Below are 21,423 nucleotides of genomic sequence, written 5' to 3'. Positions count from 1 at the left end.
GGCCTGGCCACAGTCTCTTCCTTTCCAATAGCAGAGTGAACGAGGTGCCTGCTGAGGGGTTGTGAGCTGAGCTGCCCTGGGCTCCGTGCCCGGACCATTCTCCAGCTGCAGCAGCCTGAGGGCTCTGCTGTGCTCACTTGGGTCACATGTGGGGGATGAGTGACCTGGATTTCCAGTCCCAAAGTCACACAACAGAAGGAATCATTAAAGAAGTGAAAGTCCCGCCCCACGTGCACGTAAAGGTAGCCCAGGCTGGGGGAGGGAGTCACAGAAGTCCCACCCCACGTGCATGTAAAGGTAGCCCAGGCTGGGGGAGGGAGTCACAGAAGTCCCGCCCCACGTTGCACGTAAAGGTGGCCTGGGCCAGGGGAGGGAGTTACAGAAGTCCCACCCCACGTGCACGTAAAGGTAGCCCGGGCCAGGGGAGGGAGTCACAGAAGTCCCGCCCCACGTGCACGTAAAGGTGGCCCGGGCCAGGGGAGGGAGTCACAGAAGTCCCGCCCCACGTGCACGTAAAGGTGGCCCGGGCCAGGGGAGGGAGTCACAGAAGTCCCGCCCCACGTGCACGTAAAGGTGGCCCGGGCCAGGGGAGGGAGTCACAGAAGTCCCACCCCACGTGCACGTAAAGGTGGCCCGGGCCAGGGGAGGGAGTCACAGAAGTCCCACCCCACGTGCACGTAAAGGTGGCCCGGGCCAGGGGAGGGAGTCACAGAAGTCCCGCCCCACGTGCACGTAAAGGTGGCCCGGGCCAGGGGAGGGAGTCACAGAAGTCCCGCCCCACGTGCACGTAAAGGTGGCCCGGGCCGGGGGAGGGAGTCAAAGAAGTCCCGCCCCACGTGCACGTAAAGGTGGCCCGGGCCAGGGGAGGGAGTCACAGAAGTCCCGCCCCACGTGCACGTAAAGGTGGCCCGGGCCGGGGGAGGGAGTCACAGAAGTCCCGCCCCACGTGCACGTAAAGGTGGCCCGGGCCGGGGGAGGGAATCACAGAAGTCCCGCCCCACGTGCACGTAAAGGTGGCCCGGGCCGGGGGAGGGAGTCACAGAAGTCCCGCCCCACGTGCACGTAAAGGTGGCCCGGGCCAGGGGAGGGAGTCACAGAAGTCCCGCCCCACGTGCACGTAAAGGTGGCCCGGGCCAGGGGAGGGAGTCACAGAAGTCCCGCCCCACGTGCACGTAAAGGTGGCCCGGGCCGGGGGAGGGAGTCATAGAAGTCCCGCCCCACGTGCACGTAAAGGTAGCCCGGGCCAGGGGAGGGAGTCACAGAAGTCCCACCCCACGTGCATATAAAGGTAGCCCGGGCCGGGGGAGGGAATCACAGAAGTCCCACCGCACGTGCATGTAAAGGTAGCCCGGGCCGGGGGAGGGAGTCATAGAAGTCCCACCCCACGTGCATATAAAGGTAGCCCGGGCCGGGGGAGGGAATCACAGAAGTCCCACCGCACGTGCATGTAAAGGTAGCCCGGGCCGGGGGAAGGAGTCATAGAAGTCCCACCCCACGTGCACGTAAAGGTGGCCCGGGCCAGGGGAGGGAGTCACAGAAGTCCCACCCCACGTGCATGTAAAGGTAGCCCAGGCCGGGGGAGGGAGTCACAGAATCCCACCCCACGTGGTGGTAAAGGTGGCCCAGGCCAGGGGAGGGATTCACTCCCCAGCAACGGAGTCGCTCTCAACACACTCCTGTCCCAGAGGCCACTGGCACTGGTCCTGGGGAGGTACCAGATGAGGCCAAAACTCCTGCCCACTGTCATTACTCATGAAATGGGGTGGCCATGGAGCCTGACCAGGGCTGACATGCCTTCTGCCAGGCCCACGGGTCTCTGTGTGTTTCCGTGCTGGGCTCTGAGGGGAGAAGCCTGGACCTCCCCTACATGAAAATTCTCAGCAAGGTGTCCTATGACCATGGACCCAGAAACGGCCTCAGTCAGTGATGTATCTTCTGGGAAGGGTGCACAGCTACTGGCAGGTACACGCATTCCACCCCATTCCACCTTCCCTTCTGGCAGAGGGAGGGAGGCAGGCAGGCTGAGAAATACAGGGGCTGAAGGCTCGTGTCCCTGCAGGGTGCACAGACCGCTACAGCACAGACAGCAGTGCCCGCAGGTGTCACTCTGCTGGGCCGATGGTGCTTCTCAGCAAAGGTGCAGCTGAGCCACCATCGACAGGCTGATGAGGCAAACTGCAGGTCATGCTCAGGACAGCTGGGAAAAGACCACGGAAAATAGTGTGTCTGATTCAGGGGGTGAGATGGCTCCAGAGTTACATAAGGACCGGCTTGTAAAGGATACGTGCGGGAAGGCTGCGGGAAAGGCGCCTGACAGCCCTGAAAAGTTGAGGGTGAAGGCAGGCGCCGAGAACACAGGTCTGGAGGGAACAGCCCAGTGGGGGAGGCACAAGGATCCCACGCCCAGATCATCATGAAGGACCCCAGGCACGTGCAGCCGTCTGGGAGGTGACAAGAGGGACACCCAGGCTCTCCCGGGGTGTTGGAGGGAACCACGGTGGAGCGAGGGCCATGACTTTCCACAGCCCGTGACCACCCTGCATCCCGGAGGCCACCGATGCTGCCATGTCACAGGGCCTGCTGGGGTTGAGGAAGCACCCCCACCTCCATCTGAGGGACCTAAGACCAGGCCCCAACCGGACCCCAAGGGGCTCAGCTACTCTGGGTCTGGTGGAGGCCATGATGAAGGTTGAGTGCTGGAGAGTTTTTGAGTCCAATGATATGCATTTTATAAACAGCAAAAGTTGAAAGTGTTCACCCCCAGTTGGAAATTATATTTTTGAGGCTCCGAGGCCAACATAACAAGCGATTTATAAAATATACTACAAAGCCCCAGTGTCTGATCTGGCCTAGGTCGAGAGAGAGGCTGAGAACAAACAGTGCCCGGGGCAGCAAGCAGGGCCTCCTCCTCCCGCTGTTCACCCAGGACATCTGCAAACGGGCATCTTCCCAGGTCCCATCCCAGCTGACCCACAAGCAGGGCCTCCTCCTCCGGCCGCTCACCCAGGACATATGCAAATGGGCGTCTTCCCCAGGTCTCATCCCAGGTGACCTAGACACGCATCCACCCACCCCAAGGCAGTGGTTGAGGCTGACACTGCCCTGCTGTTGCTGACCCCAGCGAGTCCTGGAGGCAGGTCGTGTGCTGCAGAAAGCACACGGGGCATCCTCATCGAGTCCCACACACCCCAGACAAGAAAAAGCAAACCCTCCCTCAGTACAAGGCGCCAAAGGGCCTGAAGCTCAGAGCCCAGAAGGGGCCTTCCTAATAAAAATTAGGAGCTACCCAACCCCAGGAAAAGTGTTCACGAACAGGTACCAGGGCCAGGGGCAGCCACGTGCTGGGGCTTCAGGACCACAGTCTCTCCACAAACACCCCTGAGCCGGCTGGGGCCCTGCAGAGCTTCCCGCTCCAAGACTCCAACAAAAAGGGGTCACAGGAACAGAACTGACGATCCAGACACATCCCGCAGTGAAAGCACCTCCAGCCAAGGACAGGGGCCAGGTTTTCTAAGCAACTCAATTCCCTCACACTCAGCAGTGCTGCCACAGAGCCAAGGCGCAGGCAGGGGTGGCGGGGGGTGCCCTGATGGGGAACCCAGGTGTGAGGCCCCACAGCTCCACCTCCTCCCTCAGCCATGCACCTGTGGGTGGTGTGGGCTTTTTCCTTTCTAAGGACAGAACAGCAGATCGGCTTCTACCGATCCAAACAGCTGCTTTAGAACCCTGACTTCCCCTTGATGCCTGGCTGACGTTCTCCTCTTCTGAATTCTACCAAACGGTGAGGGTTTCTGTGCTGGACCCAGGCTCCTCCGAGTGTCTTTATGACCATATCAACGCTCCTCCACGGAGGCCCCAGGAAGGCCTGGTGTCTCCAAGGTGTCCCACGCAAGCCCCTCTCGAAGCTACAGTCGTGCCTTCCTCAGCACCACAGGGGCCAGAGCCCTGGGGCCTCTCCCGTCTAAGCCTGGACCCGACTGTCCTCCAGCGGGAGGGCCCAGGGACTCAGGGTACCCCCTCTGCCCACTCCCACTCCTACTCCCTGCATGTGGGCTCAGAGCACCCTCATCTAAAACACCCATTCACAGTTGTCACGTTTTAATTTGTTTTGGGTGAGATTCCGCAGCTGCTTTGCCAAGGCCCCAGGTAAGTGGCAGTCACCCCAACTCCACCCAGCAGCAGGTGCAGGCGACCGCCACAGGCTACACAGAGCCCCCTGCACAGGCTGCTCTCCACATCTTCCTCCTCCTGTCCGCGGTTCCAACCCTTCAGCCCCTCGGGAAGGGATGTGTCCTCCTCCAGGCTGCCCACGCCCTCTACAAACTCCTCATAGGTAGACTTCTCCGAGAAGGGCCGGGGGCCCAGCAGCTCCACCATGTCTGCCTTCTCCAGTACTTCCTTCTCCAGGAGCCGCTGGCCCACCTGGAAACAACGGCCCACCTGTCAGACGGCTCTGAGGACATGATCACAGCCCAAACCTAAGCAAGCTGAAGGACGGGTGTGGCCTTCGGGTGTGGCATGACCGTGACTCAACATGGGACCCACGACCTGTCTGGGCAGAGGCCACACTCACCTTCTCCACATGCTCCCGGCACCGTGTCAGCAGGTCCAGGGTGCACCTGTAGGTGGCACTGACGAGGTGCCGGACCTCGTCATCAAGGAGCTGGGCGCTTGCCTCGCCGTACAGCTTCTCCACCAGGGTCTTGCCGTGTCGGGAAAAGTCGAAGGACACCTGGCCCAGCTTCTCACTCACCCCAAACTGCACAACCTGCCAGTGCGGAACCCAGGATGAGCCTGCGCCCAACAGAGCCTCCTGCGGCCCGTGCCGGGGGATGCCCACCCTTACCTGGGCGTAGGCACTCTGGGTGACCTTCCTCAGGTCGTCCTGAGCCCCCATAGTGATCTACCCGGAGCACAGCTGCTCGGCTACCCGGCCCCCGAGCATCATGCACGTGCGGTCGAAGAGCTGCTCCTGGGTGTAGAGCTGCTGCTCCCGGGGCAGGTACTGTGCGTAGCGGAGCCCCTTGCCCTGGGGTATGATGGACACCTGAGGACAGGACACATGCCCTCATCACCCCAAACACTGTCCCCACTTCCTCCAGGAGCCACCCTGGAGCGGCCAGGCCACCTGACCCTAGCTCTGACCACAGGTCCTTCTACTGGAACAGGAGAGAAGACAGCCTGACCCAGGCCCCCCATACACCATGGGGATGCCCCAAGAAGTGCACCCGCCTTTGGGAGCTTCACGTGGAAACCACCTACGCTCTGCCCACCCTGCAGAGTCTCTGGAGAGGCCAACGGTCGAATCCAGAGCTCAGGAGTCAGGCGGGTTTAACACTGAGGCTGCTCCCTGGAGTCGCATGGCCAAGGCCCCATTTGGAACCCACTGCCCTGCTTTCCCACCCCGAAGGGATCTTTTGACAAATTCTAGAGCAGTTTATTCCTTAAAAAGCTAAAGGGCCAATCCTTGAATGTACCATGCCCACATGACCACAGGTTGGCCCAGAGATACCAGGCCCAAGCCTGCCAGGTGGACTCACTCAGGGTGGGAGGACCAACCTTCAGCAGGGGGTCCACGTGCTCCAAGAACCAGCCTACCACCACGTGTCCGGCCTCGTGGTAGGCCACAGTTGTCTTTTCACCGGGCTGCAGGACCTGGGCCTTCTTCTCAAGACCTACACATCACATTCCCCGGCGAGTGAGGCACGGCAGGAGTAGGTGGCTGGGAAATGAGGCCACTCCCTCTGCGCCCAGCTGTGTCTGCAGCTACACCTGATCCCCAGGCTCCTCTATACCAGACAGCAGAGGCCAAGCCCCAGCTCCATGCTGCCTTCTTGAAAGTGAAACCCACTTCCCACATACTTCACACAAAGCCTTAACTAAACAGGCCCATTTGAAGCCAATGGGAACAGCTGTGTGTGAAACACAGCGAAGCACCATATCCTCTGGCTTGACTAAAGATGACAGCACAGCATGACAGGATGGAGAGGGATGATCTCAGTGCCCTAACGGCCCAGTGCAAGGGTAGGTAACAGGACAAAGGAAAAGCACAGATGGCACAGCTGGCCCTGCTCAGAGCCCTCTAATCACACCAGGACAGCCCTCAGGAGGCTCTGGTGGCAGGACACAGTGACCACACCTGGAATCCTAGAACTTTGGAGGCCAAGGTAGGAGAATCACTTGAACTCAGGAGATTGAGACCAGCCTGGGCTACATAGCAAGACCCCACCTCTATAAAATTTTTTAAAATTTTTTCAAGTTAAATAAAAATAAGTAGCTTTGGGCTGGGAGCAGTGGCTCACACCTGCAATCCCAACACTTTGGGAGGCCAAGGCAGGCAGATCACGAGGTCAGGAGTTCGAGACCATCCTGGCTAACATGGTGAAACCCCATCTCTACTAAAAATACAAAAAACTAGCTGGACGTGGTGGTGCACACCTGTAGTCCCAGCTACTTGGGAGGCTGAGGCAAGAGAATCGCTTGAACCCAGGAGGCGGAGCTTGCAGTGAGCCAAGACTGCACCACTGCACTCCAGCATGGGAGACAGAGCGAGACTCCATCACTTCATTTCAGACAAAAAAAAAAAAAAAAAAGCACCTTTGGTGTTTGCTTTGGGATACTCGATATCATAAGTACTTTATGTATACATTATACTTCGATAAATGGTTAAATAAAGCAGCAGCAGCTAGAATGCTCTTCCACCTGACCAACGTCAGCTCTCACAGCTTAGGGTGGACCATGAAGGATGGCTACTGGCCACCTCCCTATTCTCCACCCTCAGAACAGCACCAGGGAGAGCCAGGCCAAGCAAGACCGTGTTGGCATTGCCTGGTCTGGCAGCCCCAGGAGACCCTTCCTCACAGCTGACTCCAGTTCCCTAAGCTGCAGGAGGCTGTGTGATCCAGCCCACTCTACAGTCTGCTGAGCTGAAGACAGAGACGGATACTGCTCCCCACCAAGCTAAAGCAAATGCACTGTAAGGCTGGGCACAGTGGCTCGCACCTGTAATCCCAACACTTTGGGAGGCCGAGGTGGGCAGATCACCTGAGGTCAGGAGTTCGAGACCAGCCTGACCAAAATGGCGAAACCCCATCTCTACTAACAATACAAAAATTAGCCAGGTGTGGTGCTACGTGACCGTAATCCCAGCTACTCAGGATGAGGAGGCAGGAGAATCGCTTGAACCCAGGAGGCAGAGGTTGCAGTGAGCCGAGATCACGCTGCTGTACTCCAGCCTGGGCAACAAGAGCGAAACTCCGTCTCAAAAAAAAAAAAAGGAAAAAAGGAAATTCACTTTGTTCACTCCTTTCACAACAGTACTGTCCTGAGGAGGCCCGGGAAGGTCCCTACAGCTTCCAGGAGGCTTTTCCCAGGAAATCTCATCCATTACCTTCAGGGAAGAAGGCTCCTTTGCCCTCCACAGGAGGCATTCAAACCTGGTTCTAATATGCCTCCTTGGGCCTCTGACGGCCTGGAAGGCCCATCTCTTTCAATTTCTAAATGTTGCTCCCAGAAGGGGCATGAAAGCTATTGGAAAATCCCAAGTCCCATATGTTGGTTTAGAAAATTGGTTCCTGCAGGCAGAATTGATTTTTTTTTTTTTTGAGACGGAGTCTTGCTCTGTCGCCCAGATTGGAGTGCAGTGGCACGATCCTGGCTCACTGCAACCTCTGCCTCCCGGGTCCATGAGGTTCTCCTGCCTCAGCCTCCTGAGTAGCTGGGACTACAGGTGTGTGCCACCATGCCCGGCTAATTTTTGTATTTAAAAATCAAGATAGGGTTTCGCCATGGTGGCCAGGCTGGTCTCAAACTCCTGAACTCAAGTGATCCACCCGCCTCGGCCTCCCAAAGTGCCAGGATTACAGGTGTGAGCCACTGCGCCCGGCCTGCATGCAGAATTGAAACTGGGGCCAGGGGGTGAGCCTGCCAGGCCCAGAGCTGCAAACACCCCTCCCTCCCTAAGGGCTCCCAGGCTCACCTCCGATGACCCTCTCAATGGCCTGCTGAAAGTGTTTCTCCTGAACAGAAGAACTCAGATGCCAGGCAGCAATCAGGGCTGCTTCATTGCAAACATTCGAAATATCAGCACCAGACCCAGGAAGGAATAGCCAACAGTCAGTGCTGCTCCTGGCCGCTGGAGCTTGACCCAGATCAGTTGTTAAGGAAAATCTCCAGCAGAGAGGCCAAGGCTGAACTTCAGTAGAGAACTTAAAGGTAATGGGAGGTGTCCATCAGTCACCACTATTTAGCCACATTTTTTGTTAACCTTTATTAAGGTATAATTTATAAACCATAAAATCCACCCATTTTACACACACACATCAACGATTTTTAATAAACTGATCACGTAGTGCAACTATTGCCATAATCTAGTTTTAGGACATTTCCATCATCTCTGTAAGGTACCCTGTGCAATTTATAGTTAACTCCCATTTCCACTTCTGGCAACCACTCACCTCATGTCTGTCCCTACAGATTTGCTATTCTATACATTTTTATTATTATTCTGCACATTTCACATAAATGGGAACATATACTATGTGGCCTTTTGTGCCTGGCTTCTTGCATTTAGATCAGTATTTTCTAGGTTCACCCATGTTGTGGCATGCATCGATACTTTATTCCTTTTTATAGCTGAATGTGACTACAGTATATACCACTTTGGCCATTCACCTGCTGATGGACACTACAGATGCTTCCATCGGAGCAAAACAGACTCATCCCTGCTGAAGGACAATCAGAGTCATCCCCGAGTTATCTCTGCTGAATCATCCCTGCTGAGTCATCCTTGCTGAGGGGCGGTGCTGAGTCATCCCTGCTGAGTCATGTCTGTTGAGGGGCAGTGCTGAGTCATCCCTGCTGAGTCTGCTGAGTCATCCCTGTTGAGGGGCAATGCTGAGTCATCCCTGCTGAGCCATCCCTGCTGAGGGGCAGTGCTGAGTCATCTCTGCAGAGTCATGCCTGTTGAGGGGCGGTGCTGAGTCATCCCTGCTGAGTCATCCCTGCTGAGGGGCAGTGCTGAGTCATCCCTGCTGAGGGGCAGTGCTGAGTCATCCCTGCAGTCATCCCTGTTGAGGGGCAGTGCTGAGTCATCCCTGCTGAGTCATCCCTGTTGAGGGGTGGTGCTGAGTCATCCCTGCTGAGTCATCCCTGCTGAGGGGCAGTACTAAGCCATCCCTGAGTCATGTCTGTTGAGCGGCAGTGCTGAGTCATCCTTGGTGAGGGGCAGTGCTGAGTCATCCTTGCTGTGTCATCGCTGCTAAGGGACACTGCTGAGTCATCCCTGCTGAGTCATCCCTGTTGAGGGGCAGTGCTGAGTCATCCCTGTTGAGGGGCGGTGCTGAGTCATCCCTGCTGAGGGGCAGTACTAAGCCATCCCTGAGTCATGTCTGTTGAGCGGCAGTGCTGAGTCATCCTTGCTGAGGGGCAGTGCTGAGTCATCCTTGCTGTGTCATCACTGCTAAGGGACAGTGCTGAGTCATCCCTGCTGAGTCATCCCTGTTGAGGGGCAGTGCTGAGTCATCCCTGCTGAGGGGCAGTACTGAGTCATCCCTGCTGAGGGGCAGTACTAAGTCATCTCTGCAGAGTCATGCCTGTTGAGGGGCGGTGCTGAGTCATCCCTGCTGAGTCATCCCTGTTGAGGGGCAGTACTAAGCCATCCCTGAGTCATCCCTGTTGAGCGGCAGTGCTGAGTCATCCTTGCTGAGGGGCAGTGCTGAGTCATCCTTGCTGTGTCATCCCTGCTAAGGGACAGTGCTGAGTCATCTCTGCAGAGTCATGCCTGTTGAGGGGCGGTGCTGAGTCATCCCTGCTGAGTCATCCCTGTTGAGAGGCGGTGCTGAGTCATCCCTGCTGAGGGGCAGTACTAAGCCATCCCTGAGTCATGTCTGTTGAGCGGCAGTGCTGAGTCATCCTTGCTGAGGGGCAGTGCTGAGTCATCCTTGCTGTGTCATCCCTGCTAAGGGACAGTGCTGAGTCATCTCTGCTGAGTCATCCCTGTTGAGGGGCAGTGCGGAGTCATCCCTGTTAAGGGGTAGTGCTTAGTAAGCCCTGCTGAGGGGCAGAGTCATCAAAGTCATCTCTGTTGAGGGGTAGTGCTGAGTCATCCCCGTCTATGGGCAGAAGAAAGCAGTCTTGGTAACATTCCAGCTTTTTAACTTTGGTATGTAAACAGACATCTGAAGTCAGCCAGAGGAGAGAACAAAAGGGAGGAAGCACATTTTGTGTCTAAGACAGATGACACCTTTCAGATACCTGCCAGCCAAGACCTCACTCACCATCCTGCAGCAGGCAAACGTACAATCCTGTGTGAATACACGTGACCTGACACTAGGCAGGACACTGTGGGGAGCCAGGGGACGGGTACCACTGGGGGCGCCAAGGCAGCTGGAGGTGATAAGATGCCACAGCAGAATGTTCCAGGGGTGGCAGGAGCCGGCGGGCATAGGTCAGAAGCCGTGGCCAATGGCCACATAACCATGAGGTACTGACGCAGCAAAGAGCTGCGGAGCATGGGTGAAAAGAACAGGCATCTCCCTGGAAAAGTCCCCACTCATTCCTGAGGGTGATCCCGCCTAGGCAGGGAAGTAGGTTTCCTAGCATAGACCAGGATTTCATTGAAAAGAAGAGAGAAAAGCAAACGAGCTTCCTCAGCAGGGAGGGCAAGCCCCAGGCAGAAACGCTGCGGGAAGCATCAGGTTGCCAGATTCTCCCCCTGGGACATTACTGTCAGCTCTGCAGTAAGACTCACTAAGTCTGACTTTAATTAAGACAGAAATTCAAGTGGGTACAAATTAGTTTTGGGGCTAAGAAACTGATCTCTGAGGCCTCTGAACACTCTCAACAGGCGAAAAGTCCTGCAGACAAGGGTGAGCACTGCCAGAACTGAATGAGAACGGCCAGTCACCACCCCCCATGACAAGGAGCAGAGCACACATGGCTCCCACCACGGGGAACAGCACAGCCCGCAGCACTCACCAGGGAAGCCTGGGGTGAGCACTGCCAGCTTCCTCGCCAGGGTGTCCTTATTGAGGCTCTTGTCCAGCTTCAGTGGGCGCAGGTGGACCTTAAAGATGGAGGACCTGCCTTTAATGTAAGGGGGACCTAATGAAAAACAGAGAAAGAAGCATGGGCTCTTGTGCTTTCTGGGTCTTCAGAACAGTCACCCACAACCATACCACAGAACTGCAAGGACAGCTGGGGTCCCTGTGGAGGTCTCTGCTGTCATCCTCCAGACACAGCTGGAAGCAATGGCAGAAACCAGCCAGGCCACACACACATCTGCCTCCACAGCTACTAAACCCCTCAGCCGAGGGCCACACAGGATTAATGCTTCCTAACAAACACAAGAGGGTAGGGGGAAGGCGACGATGGCTGACCGTCAGGGTGAAGAGTAAGGGATAAATTGCTGTCTTCTAAATCATCAATTTTTACTTTTTCATAATTTATTGTTTTTGAGACAGAGTTTTGCTCTTGTTGCCCAGGCTGGAGTGCAGTGGTGCCATCTCGGCTCACCGCAACCTCCGCCTCCCAGGTTCAAGCGATTCTCCTACCTCAGCCTTCCGAGTAGCTGGGATTACAGGCGTACGCCACCACGCCCGGCTAATTTTGTATTTTTAGTAGAGACAAGGTTTCACCATATGGGCCAGGCTGGTCTCAAACTCCTGACATAGTGATCTGCCTGCCTCGGCCTCCAAAAGAGCTGGGATTACAGGTGTGAGCCACCATGCTGAGCCGACTATCAAATTTTTATAGTAGTGGGAAAAAAAAAAAAAAGCTGGAGAATAAGTATCTGTTACATCCCTCCCACCTCTCTGTGTTGCAGCAACATCCCTGCAGGCCCAACCACATATATTCTTGCCAAAAAGTGGATTGCCAGGGGCAGGACGGACGGCAGCAACCTGGGGCTCTCACACATTTTCAAAATGTTACATTAACTGCCTGGGAATTACTATCAAAATCCCTCCAAATACACTGCAAATCACCTAAACAAACTTTTTGGCCAAGGGGATAAAGGCCCAACCCCGAGAAAGGGGTACTCACCAGTGTAAATCTGGCGATGAAACCGGCCAGGCCGCATGAGGGCCGGGTCCAGGACGTCAGGGCGGTTGGTGCCAGCCAACACCACGACGTTGGTGGCAGAGTTGAACCCTGGACACAGGAGAAGCAGGTGAGCCTCAGCAGCTAGCCGGATGTGTGCATGGCAGGTAACCAGCCATCCCTCCGCTACCTGGGAACCCCACAGCCTGGCTCAGGGGGTACAGCGAAGTCCAGGGCGTGGGCCCTCCTTATCCTGACTTATTATGGGTTCCTGCAGCCTCTGACACCACATGGTGCTGGAGTGGAGGAGGGCAAGCCAGGGGCTGCACAGGAAATGGAATGCCCAGCCGAGGGGAAGGGAGGAGAAAGGCTGAGTGCTCCACTTCCCTCCTCTCCAATCGGTCCCCTCCAAATATCAAAACAGTCATCATCTAATTAGAATTACTACTGGGTACTAAAGACAAAACAATATTTAGGAAATGCTTCTGGCCCGCAGAGAAGTGTTGAACACAGCAGGCCTGACTGCTGTCCTCAGAAAGGCCTGCTCGCAAGGGCAGTGTCTGGGCACTGTGATTCTGGGAGCGTTCCCACCATTCCTTGAGAAAACAGCTCCCTGGGCCCAAACGCTTTGTGCACCCCCAGCAAAAACCCTGGGAACCAAGTCTCTCCTGAGCTTCCTGGTCAACATCAGGCAGGCGTGGTCACAGCTTGATGCTGGGGGAAGTCAGCGCGTCCCATGTGGCTCCATTGGGGGAGGGTTCAACACGGACCTGGTCTCCCCACGACCCAATGCGCCTTCTCCCCTGGCTGATTTTGCTGTATCCTTTAACGGTAATAAAGCCCTGAGTGCTACTATAGACTGAGTCCTATGACTTCTAGCATGTCACCACATCTGGGGTGGTCTTAGGGACCCCAACACGGCCCTAAAGCCAAAGTGAAAATCACATCTGCCAAAGGTCTAAGTGAAAGTTTGTCCAAATCTGAAAGCTGGCACAGAAGCCTGGACGTGTCCAATGAGGCTTTAGCAGGACTGACAGACAACGATCAGTCACATCTTAGCTACAATCACTCTGAGAGGAGGCAGGCCTGGGGAGTCTGTGAGATTCTGGGTGATGCAGGGGCAGCAAGACAAGGCTCAGAGTGGAAGGAGCATGGGTTGTGCACACACCACCCTGTGGGCACCGTCAGGAGCAGCCATGCTCGGCTACCTGGTCCCCCTCCCCAGAGAAGCAGGTGTCTCCACACTCCAGAGAACTCCTCTCCATCTGGGGGCAGGGGAATGCACTGGAGGAGGCTTGTGAATCTAACACAGCTTTCTCCAGTACGTTTGCCTGAGAGAACCCTTCCTTAAAAACAGAATAATCAGGGATTCTCTTCTGGGGGTGACTGTACAGAAAAAGGCTGTGCAGACTATTCCTAAGCAGCTGCAGGGGAACAGCTGCACACACTGTCCATCTCCACGAGCATCTGGTTCAGGGTGTTCTCCTGCTCACTCTGGCCTCCAAAGTGCCCTTGGCCTCGCTTCCTGCCAATCGCATCAATCTCATCAATGAATAAGATACATGGAGCGTTTTTTTCGGGCCATTGCAAACATGTCATGAACCTGAAACAGGAACCCACCCAGAATCGGTTTTGCTACTGGTAGGAAGACGGGAACGCCAGTTATCCTCCACCCTCTCCTTGGAAACCTCTGACCCATTTTGCCTCAGTGCACCAGCACCTCCCACACATGCCCATGCCCAGGGCCCCACACTAAGCTATTCAAGTTGACCAGTCCTGGTCAAGGCACGGTGCTGAGGCCACCTGCAGCAGGTTCCCATCCACCTACCCTTGCTGGCCCAACGCCAATAAACATTTCCAGGAACTCAGACCCGTTCACAGTGATGAAGGGCACAGTGGCCTCCCCTGCAGTTGCTTTGGCAAGAAGGGTCTTGCCGGTACCAGGAGGACCAGTGAGCATGGCTCCCTGAAACAGAATGGTGACATCGGGCTCTTAACAGGGGAGCAGATGATACACAGGTGAGAGAGCTGCTTAAACTGGTGACTTCTGAGATTGACTAAGAAGAATCCCATTAGGGATGGCTAAGGAGCTGCAGGGCAGGAGGGGGCCAGACTTGCCCACAGCACACTCCGTCCTACCCATGTGCTCCAGGAGAGGCACCCACCATGGCCGCACACACAGCCAGCTCTTCATGATGGATTCTCATGGGGGATGCCACAGGCAGAGGTAATTCTGGGAAATCACTGTACCTCATACCCAAGAACGGGAAACCTAGATGGGCCCTGACCCCACTAACTCTTTCCTGACATCCACAGCAGAGCACGAGGCCTGTGATGTAACACAGAAGCTGACAGAGCCCCCTCTCGCAGGAGCCCCTGCCTGCTGGGAAAGGGGGACCAACACACCACGTGAGGGGCCTTTCTTGGTACCTGACTGCCTCACCCACTCCATCATACAGATTTTCCCCAGCAAATACATGCATATGAAAAAAAAACTGTAATTTGTTCAGCAGCAATAGATATAAATTAAAAAAAAAAAAAGGATGCGATCGCTCACACCTGTAATCTCAGCACTTTGGGAGGCTAAGGCAGGTGGATCACCTGAAGTCAGGAGTTTGAGACCAGCCTGGCCAACATGGTGAAATCCTGTCTCTACTAAAATTACAAAAATTAGCTGGGCGTGGTGATACACAACTGTTAATTCCAGCTTCTCAGGAGGCTGAGGCAGGAGAATAGCTTGAACCCGGGAGGTGGAGGTTGCAGTGAACCAAGATCGCACCACTGCACTCCAGCCTGGGCAACAGAGCAAGACTCTGTCTCCAAAAAAAAAAAGGCCGGGCGCGGTGGCTCACGCTTGTAATCCCAGCACTTTGGGAGGCCGAGGCGGGCGGATCACGAGGTCAGGAGATCGAGACCATCCTGGCTAACACGGTGAAACCCCGTCTCTACTAAAAATACAAAAAAAATTAGCCGGGCGTGATGGTGGGCGCCTGTAGTCCCAGCTACTCGGGAGGCTGAGGCAGGAGAATGGCGTGAACCCGGGAGGTGGAGGTTGCAGTGAGCCGAGATTGCGCCACTGCACTCCCGCCTGGGCCACAGAGCGAGACTCCGTCTCAAAAAAAAAAAAAAAAAAAAATTCTGAAAGGCAAAGAGAACCACCCACTGCAGCACCTGACTATGAGCTGAGGTGAATGGCAGCTGCCAGTGGAGCTCCAACAGGAGCAGAAGGCCCCAGGCTCTGCACATCTGTCACACACACCTGCTTCCCAGCCTCATGCTCATCAAAGTGGAAAACAGGTCTGTCACCTTCTGGCTCCGCCCCAGGTTCCCGGTGCTTGGTATAATCATTATTTGTTGTTTGGAACAAACTGCCCAGTGAATGCCCACCCCATCGGGAGGTGCTGGGGGGTGGGGGTGCAAGGCCACTGCAAGGATCTGGATGTCAGCCTGGTCCAAAGCCCAGAGGTGAGTTAAAAGGGTGTGTGAATCGAGTTTCTGTGAATGCAAATATTTCTGGGAAAAAAAATCCATGGCTTCTCTCAGGCCCCCAAAGAGTCATGACCCCAAAATGGCACGAAGAGATAAACTTGCTCTGTGTGCCCAGCAGCCAGATCCAGCACCCTGACCCACACCACCTGCAACGCGCTGGCTGACTGCCCGCACACACGTAGCCGCCGTCTGGCTGCACACACCTAGCCGCTGGCTGGGTCACGGGCTTACCAAGAGGCAACTACATCTGATCCCAAGCCTGTTCATACAAGTTGTACCTGTTGTTCTATGTAATTAATATTAAATTAATAAAACAGGAGTAAGAACCGACTCTGACCCACAGCCATCTATGTGGAGCTCAGAGTATTACTATGTTTTCCAAAATCAATACCTTTGGAATTTTTGCTCCTAAGTCCTGATACTGCTTGGGATTCTTCAGGAAATTCACAAATTCCATAATTTCCAATTTGATTCTTCGCACCCAGCTACGTCTGCAAATAACACATCGATGTTGCTTTTTAAGATCTTGGCTGCTGTCTCACCAACACCGAAGAGGCCCCCTCCTCGTCTACTGCGCCTGGATCCCATAAGGCCCCTCCTGGCAGCATAGACGAGAATGCCAACCAGGAGAAGGGTGGGCACCAGACTTCACAAGAAAGAGCTGGAAAATCCAAGAGAACTACTTGTCACACTCAGGAGGTCAGAAATAGCACCTTCATGCCAGGCACGGTGAGTCACGTCTGTAATCCCAGCACTTTGGGAAGCCACGGTGAGAGGATCTCTTGAGCCCAGAAGTTCAAGACCAGCCTGGGCAACGTGGCAAGACTCCGTCTCTAAAAAAATTTATAAAAATGACCGGGTGTGGCGGCTCACACCTGTAATCCCAGCACTATGGGAGGCCAAGGCAGGTGGATCACCTGAGGTAAGGAGTTCGAGACCAGCCTAAACAACCTGGTGAAACCCTGTCTCTAGTAAAAATACAAAAATTAGTTGGGCATGGTGGCGTGTGCCTGTAGTTCCAGCTCCTCAGGAGGCTGAGGTAAGAGGATTGCTTGTGCCTGGGAGTTCAAGTCTGCAGTGAGCCATGACTACACAACTACACTCCAGCCTGGATGACAAAGCAAAACTCTGTCTCTTAGAGGAGACCGCTCTAGGACTTTGTGTTGCTACACAAAAGGTAGCAGGGTTTTTTCCTTTTTTTGAGAGAGGGTCTCACTGTCACCCAGGCTGGTGGGCAGTGGCATGATCACAGTAACCTTGAACTCCCAGGCTCAAGAGATTCTCCTGCCTCAACCTCCTGAGTAGCTAGAACCACAGGCATGCATGCCACCACAACAGATAATTTTTTAACTTTTTATAGATACGCAGTCTCACTATGTTGCCCAGCTGGTCTCGAACTCCTAGTCTCAGGTGATCCTCCCTCCTCAGCCTCCCAAAGCACTGGGATTACCTCTGTGAGCCATCACGCCCGGCCCTCGGCCTCTTTTTTTTTTTTTTTTTGAGAAGGAGTCTCACTCTGTCGCCCAGGCTGGAGTGCAGTGGCGAGATCTCGGCTCGCTGCAAGCTCCGCCTCCCAGGTTCACACCATTCTCCTGCCTCAGCCTCCCGAGTAGCTGGGACTACAGGCGCCCGCCACCACGCCCGGCTAATTTTTTGTATTTTTAGTAGAGACGGGGTTTCACCATGTTAGCCAGGATGGTGTCGGTCTCCTGACCTCATGATCCGCCCGCCTTGGCCTCCCAAAGTGCTGGGATTACAGGCGTGAGCCACCGCACCCGGCCTCTTTCTTTTAAATGTGTCAAAGTCCATCAAGCACGAGGCCTCTCCAATTCTGAAGGCTCTAGTCACAGGCATTTCTATCTCCCTGATGGAACCTGTGGCTGGCTTGGTGGGGCAGGGAGAGTGACCACCCACCACCTCCTCCACCTCCTCCACCTCCTCCACCTCCTCCACCTCCTCCACCTCCTCCACCTGGCCAAGCAGCCCTGCTGGAGCTTACACCACAGTGTCTCCCCCGGGAGGTGCCGCCAGCAGACCCAGCAAGGCCTCCTCACATCTAGGGCCAACTGGGTTGTTTTGTCACAGGAAGACACCAAATGTCCGCCTGGTTTATTTTTGTCTTTGCTCTTGCTCTTCCAAGGCTCGAGGCCATCCCTCCTCCAGCGGCTCCACACTCACTTTCAGCCCCACATACAACCAGGCATCCTGGCAACTCAACAAGCAAAGACAGAACCCAAGTCAGCAATAAACAGCACCCAGATGACATCCGGGAGCTCCATCCAGCAGGAGACCACAGGCACTTCGGGCCCTGCCACTAGAATCTGAGAGAGAATCTCCAGAATTCTACCTGCCTCACCTTCTCTCACCCCACTGCAGCCCCTACTCTGTGCTTAAACATACGTCTCAAAGAAACCGCCCACACCACTACGATTCCAATTTTTACACCCTCCTGGCTAAAGCTGGTACTGGATTTGTACTCTCTCTCGGTTCAGTTTCCAATTCAGGGCAGAAGGGCCGCAGAAGACAGAGCAATGACAAACCCAGGAAGTGAAAACACGAAAACAGGATCCACGCTTAGCAACACTGACTTCTGTGCTGAGTCCTGGGACGCACAGAGTATTTCATCTGGTCTTTGCCCTTGTGTTCATAATTACTTTAAGAACATACGATGCAGCGGAAATCCAAGATAATATGAGAGCCACTGGAAGCTTAGAATGACCAAGTGTCGGCCGGGGGCGGTGGCTCATGCCTGTAATCCCAGCACTTTGGGAGGCCGAGGTGGGCGGATCACGAGGTCAGGATATCGAGACCATCCTTGCTAACACAGTGAAACCCCCTCTCTACTAAAAATACAAAAAATTAGCCGGGCGTGGTGGTGGGCGCCTGTAGTCCCGGCTACTCGGGAGGCTGAGGCAGGAGAATGGTGTGAAGCCAGGAGGTGGAGGTTACAGCAAGCTGAGACTGCGCCACTGCACTCCAGCCTGGGCGACAGAGCGGAAGACTGTCTCAAAAAAAACCAAAAGAACGACCAAGTGTCAGGTACTACATGGGAGCTACAGGGTTGTGTGCAGGGACCCCCAGCACCTGGAAGGATGGGTCAGGGCTGCCCAAAAGGGAGCCTGGGGAAGTCACAGGTGCTCAAGCCCCACCTCTGGACGTTAATTCGACACTTCTGCAGGAGTGGCAGGTAGAAATGATGAAAGTGCATTTTGACAGGGCTCTCGTAGTGATCCTGCTGCATGGCCCAATTGTGGAAGGCTTCCTATGGGACTTCAGGGAATTTCTGCTCCAACAATAACCCAACGACTGGTTTTCTTTTGTAACATTGCCTAGCCAAATATTTCCCTGCTTCAATTCTCATGAAAAAACAGTAAAAAACAAATATATACATATATGTGTGTGGGGGTGTGTGTGTGTGTGTATATATATATATATATATATATATATATATATGTAAAAAAGTATATATATAAAAGTGTATATATAAAAGTATATTATATATATAAAAGTATACATATATAAAAGTATATATATAAAAGTATACATATATAAAAGTATATATATAAAAGTATACATATATAAAAGTATATATATGTAAAAGTATGTATATATAAAAGTATATATATATATATAAAAGTATATATATATTTTTTACTACAGACATTGCTTATTACAGATGCCTCTAATAAGCTTGAAAAACAAATTCCAACACAGCTTAAATGTTGCATTTCTGTTTTGTGTTCACACAGAGGCCCTTCGCCATCCTCCTCACCCATCACTCTCGCTGGTGTAGACTACCACTGCCTGGTTGTGGGGCTCGATCCCCAGCTCCCCTTGAGCAGACTCCAGGTTCCGCTCGAAGGTATCAACGCTGCCAATGTTAAACCACAAGAACTTCTGCAGAGAGCAAGAGCAAGCTTAGGGTGCATCGCCGTGTCCCACACTGAGCCCCACCCTCACACACGCATCTCCCACTGCCTCTTCTCCTAGCCTTAATCTCCACATGGGTGAGGCCTGTGCAGAGGCTAGCTCCAAGGGAAACTAACTAACAGCAGAAGACTCTGGTTTTGGCCCCACGAAATTAGTCTTTAAGTTCTAGATGGAAGTGTAAAATGTCCAACAACTGCTGGGGTGTGCCTTTGTCTCTTTTTCTTTTCTTTTTTTTTTTTTTTGAGACAGTCTCCCTCTGTCACCCGGGCTGAAGTGCAGTGGGATGATCTTGGCTCACTGTAACCTCCACCTCCCGGGTTCAAGCAATTCTCATGCCTCAACCTCCTGAGTAGCTGCGATTACAGGCACAGGCCACCATGTCCGGCTAATTATTGTATTTTTAGTAGAGATGGGGTTTCACCATGTTGGCCAGGCTAGTCTTGAACTCCTGGCCTCAAGTGATCTGTCCGCCTCTGTCTCCCAAAGTGCTGGGATTACAGGCATGAGCCACCACGGCCAGCCATTCCTTTTGGCTTTTTACTCTTTTATCTTTGTCTCCTTCTCTTCTCTCCCCACAATCCTTGATGAGTTGTTCTCAGACACTGCTTGGCAAATCTGAACCCTAGTCAGTCTTATAAGGGCTCCTGTCCTCCTTGGAAGGCTTTGTTATTGATACATGCCAATGAGAAAAAAACACATTAACGAGTAGCTGATGGATACTAAGGGAGTATTTTACTGAAAAAAATAGAAAACTACATTTTTACACGAAATAAACTTATGTCTGCAATACTCAGCCTTAAATTCACCCCTCACTTCAGAAGAGGTCCCAGGGGCAGGAATAACACGCACAGATTGTTTGTTCACGACTTCCAGCCGGTCCACCTGGGAAAAAGAGAAAAATAATCAGCACAGCTAGAGCAGTGAGTATGATATTCAACAGTAAACAGGGGCCTCACCCTCAGACCAGCCCACAGCTAAAGCAATGAGTATCATATTCAACACTAAACCACGGGCCTCATCCTCAGACCAGCCCCACAGTGCAGACCGAGACTCCAACGGTGTCTGAGAAGCTGCATCCACTCTGCTGTGCAGATCCGAGTTTTGTTTTCTGACTGATTTGGACATTTCTAGCCTGGCCTGTGCATGTAATTCAAGAGGAGTTACAATTTGGTACATCTGAGCACCAAAGATTCCAGAGTGACTTAAAAATCTAAAAGGAAGGCCAGGCGCAGTGGCTCAGACCTATAATCCTGGCACTTTGGGAGGCTGAGGAGGGTGGATCACTTGAGGCCAAGAGTTCGAGACTAGCCTGGCCAACGTGGTGAATCCCTGTCTCTACTAAAAATACAAATATTAGCCAGATGTGGTGGGGCGTCCCGGTAATCCCAGCTACTCAAGCGGCTGAGGCAGGGAGAACTGCTTGACCCCGGGAGGCGGAAGTGGCAATGAGCCAAGACTGTACACTGCACTCCAACCTGGGCAACAGAGTGAGACTCCATCTGAAAAAAAAAATCTAAAAGGCATAGAGGTCTCAGACTGACAATACAGCAAAGTCTTCCGGAACTCATCCAGAAACATTTCGCCCACACAGCTGCAGATACCACAAGAAAATGGTGCCACCAAGAATGAAAATGCAACCCCAAAGGCCTCCACGAAGCCACCCAGCGGCGAACACAGCCCGACAGCCGGTGCGCAGCAAAAACACAACTTGAGAGTGCGGCCATTTCCTTAGGTATCATGACAACAGCGTTGCTTTCTCCTCTCCACAGAATCTGAAACCACTATAACCCTACTTTTCTTGACTACTCAGGGTCATGTGACCAACACGAACGTGTTTATGACAGGGGCCTCTTGACCATAACGCAACCGCATCACGGTCAGCGTGTCAGATACCTGGAGAGGACCTCACAGAAGCTCTGGGATCTGTCCAGAACCCACACACCAGCAGGCATCTTGCTCCTCACA

At 53.8% G+C, this 21,423-nt stretch overlaps 1 pseudogene across 3 annotated transcripts in view, besides 12 other annotated features; it reads right to left on the bottom strand.

Moving 5' to 3' along the window:
* Positions 1–4,083: 4,083 nt before the first annotated feature.
* The window catches only part of AFG3L1P (AFG3 like matrix AAA peptidase subunit 1, pseudogene), a 28,208-nt pseudogene continuing 10,868 nt past the window's right edge, over positions 4,084–21,423 (bottom strand). The window contains exons 6-13 of one of the 3 annotated variants that reach the window (NR_003228.1): positions 20,272–20,340; positions 15,920–16,019; positions 13,868–14,005; positions 12,043–12,150; positions 10,978–11,103; positions 4,847–5,047; positions 4,574–4,768; positions 4,084–4,422 (exon numbers count right to left, since the gene is read on the bottom strand). The product of NR_003228.1 is annotated as an AFG3 like matrix AAA peptidase subunit 1, pseudogene, transcript variant 3 (transcript). Of the gene's footprint in view, positions 4,423–4,573; positions 4,769–4,846; positions 5,048–8,250; positions 10,179–10,977; positions 11,104–12,042; positions 12,151–13,867; positions 14,006–15,919; positions 16,020–20,271; positions 20,341–21,423 lie in introns of those variants that run through there. The other 2 variants (NR_003226.1, NR_003227.1) reach the window with 2 other exon arrangements.
* Positions 4,380–4,530: a silencer, noted in NCBI's record as "fragment chr16:90066749-90066899 (GRCh37/hg19 assembly coordinates)". NCBI's record gives its function as "represses an EF-1alpha promoter that drives an FKBP-Casp9 reporter gene in an ReSE screen in HepG2 liver carcinoma cells {active_cell/tissue: HepG2}" and the evidence as "EXISTENCE:reporter gene assay evidence [ECO:0000049][PMID:32094911]".
* Positions 5,254–5,423: an enhancer, noted in NCBI's record as "experimental_46891 CRE fragment used in MPRA reporter constructs". NCBI's record gives its function as "activates a minimal promoter by MPRAs in K562 erythroleukemia cells, with activity observed for the introgressed 16:90065941 or rs62054572 variant allele {active_cell/tissue: K562}" and the evidence as "EXISTENCE:reporter gene assay evidence [ECO:0000049][PMID:34662402]".
* Position 5,338: a transcriptional cis regulatory region, noted in NCBI's record as "Neanderthal adaptively introgressed variant 16:90065941 (GRCh37/hg19 assembly coordinates) or rs62054572 in the experimental_46891 CRE". NCBI's record gives its function as "modulates activity of the experimental_46891 enhancer by MPRAs in K562 erythroleukemia cells {active_cell/tissue: K562}" and the evidence as "EXISTENCE:reporter gene assay evidence [ECO:0000049][PMID:34662402]".
* Positions 7,294–7,463: an enhancer, noted in NCBI's record as "experimental_46884 CRE fragment used in MPRA reporter constructs". NCBI's record gives its function as "activates a minimal promoter by MPRAs in K562 erythroleukemia cells, with activity observed for the non-introgressed 16:90063901 variant allele {active_cell/tissue: K562}" and the evidence as "EXISTENCE:reporter gene assay evidence [ECO:0000049][PMID:34662402]".
* Positions 8,399–9,598: an enhancer, noted in NCBI's record as "P300/CBP strongly-dependent group 1 enhancer chr16:90061681-90062880 (GRCh37/hg19 assembly coordinates)". NCBI's record gives its function as "activates an origin of replication core promoter dependent on BRD2, BRD4, P300/CBP, MED14 and CDK7 cofactors, with strong dependence on P300/CBP, by STARR-seq in HCT116 cells {active_cell/tissue: HCT116}" and the evidence as "EXISTENCE:reporter gene assay evidence [ECO:0000049][PMID:35650434]".
* Positions 8,399–10,397: a biological region, named in NCBI's record as "P300/CBP strongly-dependent group 1 enhancer GRCh37_chr16:90061681-90062880".
* Positions 8,435–9,416: an enhancer, noted in NCBI's record as "NANOG-H3K27ac-H3K4me1 hESC enhancer chr16:90061863-90062844 (GRCh37/hg19 assembly coordinates)". NCBI's record gives its function as "activates a minimal SCP1, AML or CMV promoter by ChIP-STARR-seq in naive and primed H9 embryonic stem cells {active_cell/tissue: H9 hESC(naive and primed)}" and the evidence as "EXISTENCE:reporter gene assay evidence [ECO:0000049][PMID:30033119]".
* Positions 9,417–10,397: an enhancer, noted in NCBI's record as "NANOG-H3K27ac-H3K4me1 hESC enhancer chr16:90060882-90061862 (GRCh37/hg19 assembly coordinates)". NCBI's record gives its function as "activates a minimal SCP1, AML or CMV promoter by ChIP-STARR-seq in naive and primed H9 embryonic stem cells {active_cell/tissue: H9 hESC(naive and primed)}" and the evidence as "EXISTENCE:reporter gene assay evidence [ECO:0000049][PMID:30033119]".
* Positions 9,713–9,792: an enhancer, noted in NCBI's record as "active region_11432". NCBI's record gives its function as "activates an Ori minimal core promoter by ATAC-STARR-seq in GM12878 lymphoblastoid cells {active_cell/tissue: GM12878}" and the evidence as "EXISTENCE:reporter gene assay evidence [ECO:0000049][PMID:35858748]".
* Positions 9,896–10,190: an enhancer, noted in NCBI's record as "tiled region #3926; HepG2 Activating DNase matched - State 25:Art, and K562 Activating DNase unmatched - State 25:Art". NCBI's record gives its function as "activates a minimal TATA promoter and a strong SV40 promoter by Sharpr-MPRA in HepG2 and K562 cells {active_cell/tissue: HepG2 | K562}" and the evidence as "EXISTENCE:reporter gene assay evidence [ECO:0000049][PMID:27701403]".
* Positions 10,398–11,379: an enhancer, noted in NCBI's record as "H3K27ac hESC enhancer chr16:90059900-90060881 (GRCh37/hg19 assembly coordinates)". NCBI's record gives its function as "activates a minimal SCP1, AML or CMV promoter by ChIP-STARR-seq in primed H9 embryonic stem cells {active_cell/tissue: H9 hESC(primed)}" and the evidence as "EXISTENCE:reporter gene assay evidence [ECO:0000049][PMID:30033119]".
* Positions 16,321–16,495: a silencer, noted in NCBI's record as "fragment chr16:90054784-90054958 (GRCh37/hg19 assembly coordinates)". NCBI's record gives its function as "represses an EF-1alpha promoter that drives an FKBP-Casp9 reporter gene in an ReSE screen in K562 erythroleukemia cells {active_cell/tissue: K562}" and the evidence as "EXISTENCE:reporter gene assay evidence [ECO:0000049][PMID:32094911]".

This window comes from Homo sapiens, chromosome 16 (assembly GCF_000001405.40).
Source record: "Homo sapiens chromosome 16, GRCh38.p14 Primary Assembly".
NCBI classification, from domain to species: Eukaryota; Metazoa; Chordata; class Mammalia; order Primates; family Hominidae; genus Homo; species Homo sapiens.
The sequence above is the reverse complement of the archived record's forward strand: the minus strand, read 5'-3'. Positions and strand labels throughout refer to the sequence as shown.